Raw genomic sequence first — 8,923 nt, 5'->3', positions numbered from 1 at the left:
CACGTAAATGTCAGGCAAGACCGAATAATAAAGGATGAGGCTGGACACAGTGGCTCAAGCCTGTAATCCCAGAACTTTGGGAGGCTGAGGTGGGCGGATCACTTGAGGTCAGGATTTCCAGACCAGCCTGGCCGACATGGTGAAAACCCATCTCTACTAAAAGTACAAAAATTAGCTGGGTGTGGTGGCACATGCCTGTAGTCCCAGCTACTTGGGAGGCTAAGGTGGGAGAATTGCTTGAACCCAAAAGCAGAGGTTGCAGTGAGCCGAGATCATGTCGCTGCACTCCAGCCTGGGTGACAGAGTGAAACTGGATGATGTAAGAGGAGACAGGATCACCTGGTAGTGAAGAGCCCTGACTTTGGAGCCAGACTACTCCGGTTGGTTTACAGGCTCTGTCACATCCCAGCTGTGTGATTTTCGGCAAGTTACTTCACCTCTCTGTTCTTCCATTTCCTCTGTGAAATGAAAATAATGAATGCCTTCCTTGTAGAGTCACTGTAAGGATTATAATGACTTAGGAACCCTTAGAACAGTGCCTGGCACGTAGTTCTTTATGGCACTATATAGCAAATAATGTTATTTTACCAATTATTACTACTACTACTAAAGGATCCTATAATTTAGTTAATTATCTTTTTTTTTTTTGAGACAGAGTTTCACTCTTGTTGCCCAGGCTGGAATGCAATGGCCAGGCTGGAGTGCAATGACGTGATCTCTGCTCACTGCAACCTCAGCCTCTGAGGTTCAAGCGATTCTCTTGCCTCAGCCTCCCAAGTAGCTGGGATTACAGGCACCCACCACCATGCCCAGCTAATTTTTTCCTTTTTAGTAGAGACAGGGTTTCAACATGTTGGCCAAGCTGGTCTCAAACTCCTGACCTCAGGTGATCTGCCCACCTCCATCTCCCAAAGTGTTAGGATTACAGACGTGAGCCACCGTGCCCGGCCTCAAAATCATATTTTAAAATGTCAAAGATCTTATAATTTTGTTAAACCACAGAAGCCAGTTCAACACTGTGGTTCCCAGCCATGGCTGTGATAGATAATTATTATTATTTTTTTTTCTGAGACGGAGTTTCACTCTTGTTGCCCAGGCTGGAGTGCAATGGCACGATCTCGGCTCACTGCAACTTCTGCCTCCTGGGTTCAAGTGATTCTCCTACCTCAGCCTCCCAAGTAGCTGGGATTACAGCGCTTGCCACTATGCCCAGCTAATTTTTTGTATTTTTTTAGTAGTGACGGGGTTGCATCATGTTGGCCAGGCTGATCTTGAAATCCTGATCTCAGGTGATCCACCCGCCTCGGCCTCCCAGATTGCTGGGATTACAGGTGTGAGCCACCCTGCCTTGCTGTGATAGATAATTCTTACTCATTCCTGTGTGTACATTGGTTACCAAGGGAATCTGCATGATTGGGTTATCTAATGTATTAGAACACCCGCCCTTCACCAAGACTTGGGATCCCCCAAGAACAACCTGCCTCTTGCCTGTTACATGGCAGATACAGCATACAGACAGCTGGAAGAGGGAGGGATGTTTGCTTGCCGCCACAGGCTAGGGAGATACTGTACACATGTCTGATGCTAGCGGAAGGTCTCCGGGTTCAACCTTAAATGATTCCCGGCCGGGCACGGTGGCTCACATCTGTAATCCCAGCACTTTGAGAGGACAAGGCGGGCAGATCATGAGGTCAGGAGTTTGAGACCAGCCTGCTCAACATGGTGAAACCCCGTCTCTTCTAAAAATACAAAAAATTAGCTGGGCGTGGTGGCGGGCACCTGTAATTCCAGCTACTCAGGAGGCTGAGGCAGGAGAATTGCTTGAACCTGGGAGGCGGAGGTTGCAGTGAGCCGAGATCGCGCCACTGCACTCCAGCCTGGGTGACAGAGCAAGACTCCGTCTCAAAAACAAAAACAAAAACAAACAAACAAACAAACAAAAACATTCCCACAGAACATGGGCACCTCCCTTCCCCTCACTTCCTGAGTCAAGGGGAAGAAGAAAGCCAATGGGCGTGGTCACATTCCCTGGGGAGGCGTGGTCACATTCCCTGGGGAGGGGTAATAAGGTTGGCTGGTATCTGACCCAGAAGCTCCAGGGCCTGAAGACCAGGCTCCATTCTCATTCCCCGTGTGGCTGTGAGTTGCCCTCCCTCCCTGGGCCTCAGACTCAGATTCCGTAAGGTGAGGCGGCCTGCACCATCACCCTGGGATCTGAGAGGCAGTATGGGTCAGTGGTTAAGCATTTGAGCCCTGTGGCCACACGCTTGGGTTTGGATGCCAGCACCGCTACCCCCTAGCTGTGTGACTTCACCTCCCTGAGCCTCAGTTTCCTCACCTGTCAAGTGGGCACAATAGTACCTGCCTCATAAGGTTATTGATAGGGTTAAATGAGTAAATAGATGGAAATTACCTCGGGCTGCGCCTGCCACCTGTCCACTAAATGTTAGCTACAAATTCATGCACCCTTCCTTTGTTGTGTTTTGGAGACTGGTAAGAGAAGGGAAAGAGGTCATGGTCACTGGGACTCTCACCAGTTGATGTCTTCCCTCTTCTCAGACACACACTGTTTGCCCTAGACCTGGAGATGTTGCTGGGGCTGCTGTACATCCTGGCTCCACGGGCACGGTGCCCTTTGCTTGGTACCACACACCCAACCCTGTTGGGGAAACAGAGGAGTTCTGGGGAGCAGCAGGGACTGGGGCCAACCGCAGAACAGCCGTGGAGTCAGTTCAGAAAACTGAAACTCTGGCCGGGCGCCATAGCTCACGCCTGTAATCCCAGCACTTTGGGAGGCCAAGGCAGGCGGATCATGAAGTCAGGAGATTGAGACCATCCTGGCCAACACGGTGAAACCCTGTTTCTACTAAAAATACAAAAATTAGCTGTACGTGGTGGCACGTGCCTGTAATCCCAGCTACTCAGGAGGCTGAGGCATGAGAATCGCTTGAACCTGGGAGTCGGAGGTTGCAGTGAGCCAAGATCGCCACTGCGCTCCAGCCTGGCGACAGAGCGAGACTCCATCTCAAAAAAAAAAAAAAGAAAAGAAAAGAAAAGAAAGAAAATTGAAACTCAGAGAAAGGAAGGATTTGTACAAGGTCATGGGCAAGCAGGGGTGTCCAGCCGTGCGCTTCCCCAGGCCTGGAGAGCTCTGGAATTCCTTCCCTGCACCCTCTTATCCTCCACGGGCTGAGCACAGGGTCTCTGCTGGGAAGTGACCACTCCCCATCTCAAGACAGGCAGGTGTCCCTGCTGGAAGGGGACAGCTTCATGCAGACCCTATACAAAGTAGCCCTGGCTTCCAGAGAGGAGGAGAAAGCAAGCAGGCCAGGCCTCAGTTGCCAGCTACACGGGATCTAATTTAGGGAAGGCTGAAGAAAATTATTTGTTATTGCCTTCCTCTACCCTATGCACACGATGGCCTCCACCTCGAGAATGAAAGGCAGGGGTGGAGGGGGTGGGGCGTCAGCTTTTTCTGACCTTTGAACCCACCCTCACTGCTTCCCATGCCCTTGGGCAAGTCATTTCACTCTTTGAGCTTTGTTTTCGTGTCTTTTAATTCTGTAGCCTTCAGTTTTCTCACCTGTAAATGTAAATAATAATAACTATTTCATAGGGTTATTTGGGGAGATTAACATGCAAATAGAAATGGTTAAATATTGCCTCCACCTCCCCAGGCTCAAGCCATCCTCCCACCTCAGCCTCCTGGGTAGACTATAGGTAGACTACAGGTACACACCACCATGCCCTGCTATTGATTGATTGATTGATTAAGGTCTCGCCATGTTGCCCGGACTGGTCTTGAACTCCTGGGCTCCAGCGATCCACCCGCCTTGGCCTCCCAAAGTGCTGGGATTGTAGGCATGAACCACCCCACCTGGTCCCAGAAATGGGTAAGTGAAAGAAGTAGGTTGTTATAAAATAACATAATTGCTGGCAGGGTGTGGTGGCTCACGCCTGTAATCCCAGCACTTTGGGAGGCCAAGCCAAGAGGATCACTTGAGGTCAGGAGTTCGAGACCAGCCTCACCAACATGGTGAAACCCCATCTCTACTAAAAATACAAAAATTAGCCAAGCGAGCTGGCTCATGCTTGTAATCTCAGCTACTTGGGAGGCTGAGGCAGGAAAATCACTTGAAGTGAGCGGAGGTTGAAGTGAGCGGAGGTTGCAGTGAGCCAAGATTGCACCACTGCACTCCAGCCTGGGGGCAACAAGAGCGAAACTCCAGCTAAAAAAAAAAGTTACTGCACAGAAAATATCTAAAACATGTGTGACAGGCATCAGGGAAGTGGTGAATGGTGACTAAAGGCATCCGCTAGAACCAGGTGGGTGTGAAGCCTGGCTCCACCCCTTCCCAGCTGTGTGGACGTGAGAAATCACCTAACTTCTCCAGGCCTTCATTTCCTCAACTGCAAATTGGAGATTATTTTATTTATTTATTTATTTTTTGAGATGGAGTTTCGCTCTTGTTGCCCAGGCTGGAGTGCAATGGTGCGATCTCTGTTCACCGCAACCTCTGCCTCCCGGGTTCAAGCGATTCTCCTACCTCAGCCTCCCGAGTAGCTGGGATGACAGGCATGCGCCACCATGCCCGGCAAATTTTGTGTGTTTAGTAGAGACGGGGTTTCTCCATGTTGGTCAGGCTGGTCTCGAACTGCCGACCTCAGGTGATCCACCCACCTCGGCCTCCCAAAGTGTTGGGATTACAGGCGTGAGCTACCGAGTCCGGCCCAAATTGGAGATTATAATGATAATTATCTACCTACTGAGTGTGGTTGCTGGGGAAATCATGTAACAAGCACAATATCCAATGTATAGTAAGTACTCAATAAATCCTAGCTACTGCTGTCTTGGCAGTGCTCATGGATGATTTCCAATTGTTCATTAGGTTTTTCTACAATTTTCAAAGTTTCTACAACAACCAGGTATGACTTGCGTGTCTCCGAGAGAAAAAATGTTACACAAATAATGGTGCCTGCTACAGAGTGGCCTCTTGAGATACTTGAGTGCCCTGGACCACCCAACTCCAACAAGCCACCTTCCCCTGATATCTTGTGATCAGGGCATCGCAGGTCTGGCCCAGGGTCATCGCAGCAGGGGATGGGCATGCGTATGGCTGGAGAGATGGCTACAGACAGAGAGAAAGACATCAGGGCGGCCAGGTGCAGCGGCTCACGCCTGTAATCACAGCACTTTGGAAGGCCAAGGCGGGTGGATCACCTGAGGTCAGGAATTCAAAACCAACTTGGCCAACATGGTGAAACCCTGTCTTTACTGAAAATACAAAAAATTAGCTGGGTGTGGTGGCACGCACCTGTAATCCCAGCTATTCGGGAGACTGAGGCAGGAGAATCACTTGAACCCGGGAGGTGGAGGTTGCAGTGAGCTGAGATCACGCCACTGCACTCCAGCCTGGGCGACAGAGCGAGACTCTGTTTAAAAAACAAAAAGAAAGAAAGAAAGGCATTAGGGCATGGGGCATGCATGAGGGATGTGAGCTGTGGGAGGGAGAAGGTGCGTTCTGACTGAATTCCACCCTGACTGTCCTCAAGGGGAAATATGTTTGGGGCCTTTCTGCCTTAGTGACTACCAGGGCAACAAGCTGAGAGAAAGCCAGATGGAATCTAGCTGGACGGGGGGGCATGTGCGTGCTTCCTGGGACATTCATTCAACTTTGCTGCTTGTTTGAAAATTTTTGGCCAGTCTCGGTGGCTCATGCCTGTAATCCCAGCACTTTGGGAGGCCAAGGCAGGCGGATCACCTGAGGTCGGGAGTTTGAGGCCAGCCTGACCAACATGGAGAAACCCCGTCTCTACTAAAAATACAAAATTAGCTAGGTGTGGTGGCGCATGCCTGTAATCCCAGCTACTCGGCAGGCTGAGGCAGGAGAATCACTTGAACCCAGGAGGCAGAGGCTACAGTGAGCCGAGACCGTGCCATTGCACTCCAGCCTGGGCGACAGGAGCGAAACTCCATCTCAAAAAAAAGAAAAGAAAAGAAAATTTTTAGGATGGGCATGGTGGCTCACACCTGTAATCCCAGCACTTTGGGAGGCCGATGTGGGCAGATCACCTGAGGTCAAGAGTTCGAGACCGGCCTGACCAACATGGCAAAACCCCATCTCTACTAAAAACACAAAAATTAGCCAGGCATGGTGGTGGGTGCCTGTAATCCCAGCTACTCGGGAGGCTGAGACAGGCAAATCGCTTGGACCTGGGAGGCGGATGTTGTTGTGAGCCAAGATCGCACCATTGCACTCCAGCCTGAGCAACAGACCAAGACTCTCTCAAAAAAAAAAGAAAATTTTTATAGTAAGATACTGGAACAACTGATTAGCTGAGAGAAAGAGGATGAGAATGAAGCAAGGTCTGAGAAAGACTACAGAGACTGACCACAGACACGGGCATCTCACACACATTTAGAGCAGCTCAGTCACTTAGAAGTCACTTAGGCCATCCCTCTCACTTTTCAGATGAAGAAACCTACATTGGCTCAAGGTGGCTCAACCAGGAGCAGTGGCAAGGAACACTCTCATCACAGCACCAAGCTGCCTCACGTTCTGGATACAAAACAACTGTGGATTTCTCCCAAGACTTCCTTCTCATGTACAAAGTTCTGACTCAGGCTGGGTGCAGTGGCTCACACCTGTAATCCCAGCACTTTGGGAGGCCAAGGTGGGCGGATCACTTGAGGTCAGGAGTTCAAGACCCACCTGGCCAACATGGTGAAACCCCTTCTCTACTAAAAATACAAAAAATTATCTGGGCATGGTGGCACGTGCCTGTAATCCCGGCTATTTGGGAGGCTGAGGCAGAAGAATTGCTTGAACCCAGGAGATGGAGGTTGCAGTGAGCTGAGATGGTGCCACTGCATTCCAGCCTGGGTGACAGAGCAAGACTCCATCTCAAAAAAAAAAAATAAAATAAAATAAAAAGAGTTCTGACTCACCCAGAGGAGAAGGAAAGGCCAGGGCTGGATGGGCTGGCCCCCAGGGACAGAGTGCTGAAGAGGCCTAAGAGGGGCCGCTGCCACAAAGGGACAGGCCAACCCCGCTCTTCATAGCCCAATGTGTGGAGCCCCATGACATGTTCCTCACAAAGGGATTTATGTGAAGTGCGTAAGTCAGTATTGCCATAGTTTACCTCATTGCTTTCTCAGAATCCTCCCCTACCAAGCAATGACTCAGGATGAAAACAAACCAGTGGGAAGGAACAGAAGTCCAGGCCCTAGAGCTGGCTGCATCTGGCTTTCACCCCAGCTCTGCTTCTGATGCACCAGTGACATTGAACACGACACTTGGCTCTTCTGTTTCCGCGTGGTCTGTAAAATGGTAAATTACTTCACCAAGCTTCTGGGAAATGAATGGAGATAATACATACAACAGGCTTAATACAGGGTCTTATTTATGCGGCCAAGAAACATGAAAAAAAGTGGGGCCAGGCACGGTGGCTCATGCCTGTAATCCCAGCAGTTTGGGAGGCTGAGGCGGGTGGATCACCTGAGGTCAGGAGTTTGAGACCAGCCTGGTCAACATGGTGAAACACTGTCTCTACTAAAACTACAAAAAATTAGCTTGGGCATGGTGGCAGGCACCCGTAATCCCAACTATTCGGGAGACTGAGGCAGGAGAATCACTTGAACCCAGGAGGCAGAGGTTGCAGTGAGCCGAAATCTCCCCATTGCACTCCAGCCTGGGTAACAAGAGCAAGACTCCATTTAAAAAAAAAAAAAAAACAGAAAGAAAGAAAAGAAGAAAAGCTGAATATCACTGATCATTAGAGAAATGCAAATCAAAACCACAGTGAGACACCATCTCACACCAATGAGAATGGTGATTATTAGAAAGTCAAGAAACAACAGATGCTGGCAAGGCTGTGGAGAAATAGAAATGCTTTTACACTGTTGGTGGGAATGTACATTATTTCTCAACTATTGTGGAAGACAGTGTGGTGATTCCTCAAGGATCTAGAACCAGAAATTCCACCTGACCCAGCAATCTCATTACTGGGTATATACCTAAAGGGATATAAATCATTCTGTTATAAAGATATATGCACACATATGTTTATTGCAGCACTATTCACAATAGCAAAGACATGAAATCAACCTAAATGCCCATCAGTGGTAGACTGGGTAAAGAAAATGTGCTACGTATACAACATGGAATACTATGAAGCCATAAAAAGGAATGAGATCATGTCCTTTGCAGGGACATGGATGAAGCTGGAAGCCATCATCCTCAGCAAACTAACACAGGAACAGAAAACCAAACACCGCATGTTCTCACTCATAAGTGGGAGCAGAGCAATAAAAACACATGGACACAGGGCAGGGAACAATACACACCAGGGCCTGTCGGTGGGGTGAGGGAAGGGAGAGCATCAGGAAAAATAGCAAATGTGTGTGGGGCTTAATGCCTAGGTGACGGGTTGACAGGTGCAGCAAACCACCATGACACATGTGTTTACCTCTGTAACAAACCTGCAGGTTCTGCACATGTATCCCAGAACTTAAAGTAAAATAAAATTTTTTTAAAAAAGGCTGGGCGCGGTGGCTCATGACTGTAATCCCAGCACTTTGGGAGGCCGAGGCGGGCGGATCACGAGGTCAAGAGATCGAGACCATCCTAGCTAACATGGTGAAACCCCGTCTCTACTAAAAATACAAAAATTAGTTGGGCATGGTGGCACACGCCTGTAGTCCCAGCTACTCGGGAGGCTGAGGCAGGAGAATCCCTTGAATCTGGGAAGCGGTGAGCCAAGATCGCGCCACTGCACTCCAGCCTGGTGACAGAGTGAGACTCCATCTCAAAAAAAAAACAAAACAACAAAAAAATAGTGTCTTGCATGTAGAAAGCCCTCAGTAAATTGTAGCAATATTGCTGCTTTTGTGGCAGTGATATGTTGCTTATTTATTTATTTT

At 49.1% G+C, this 8,923-nt stretch overlaps 1 annotated feature.

Moving 5' to 3' along the window:
- Positions 2,256–2,982: an enhancer, noted in NCBI's record as "H3K27ac-H3K4me1 hESC enhancer chr22:36481448-36482174 (GRCh37/hg19 assembly coordinates)". NCBI's record gives its function as "activates a minimal SCP1, AML or CMV promoter by ChIP-STARR-seq in primed H9 embryonic stem cells {active_cell/tissue: H9 hESC(primed)}" and the evidence as "EXISTENCE:reporter gene assay evidence [ECO:0000049][PMID:30033119]".

Source organism: Homo sapiens, chromosome 22 (assembly GCF_000001405.40).
Source record: "Homo sapiens chromosome 22, GRCh38.p14 Primary Assembly".
NCBI lineage: Eukaryota > Metazoa > Chordata > Mammalia > Primates > Hominidae > Homo > Homo sapiens.
Note: the sequence above shows the minus strand (reverse complement) of the source record. Positions and strands in the feature narration are given on the sequence as shown.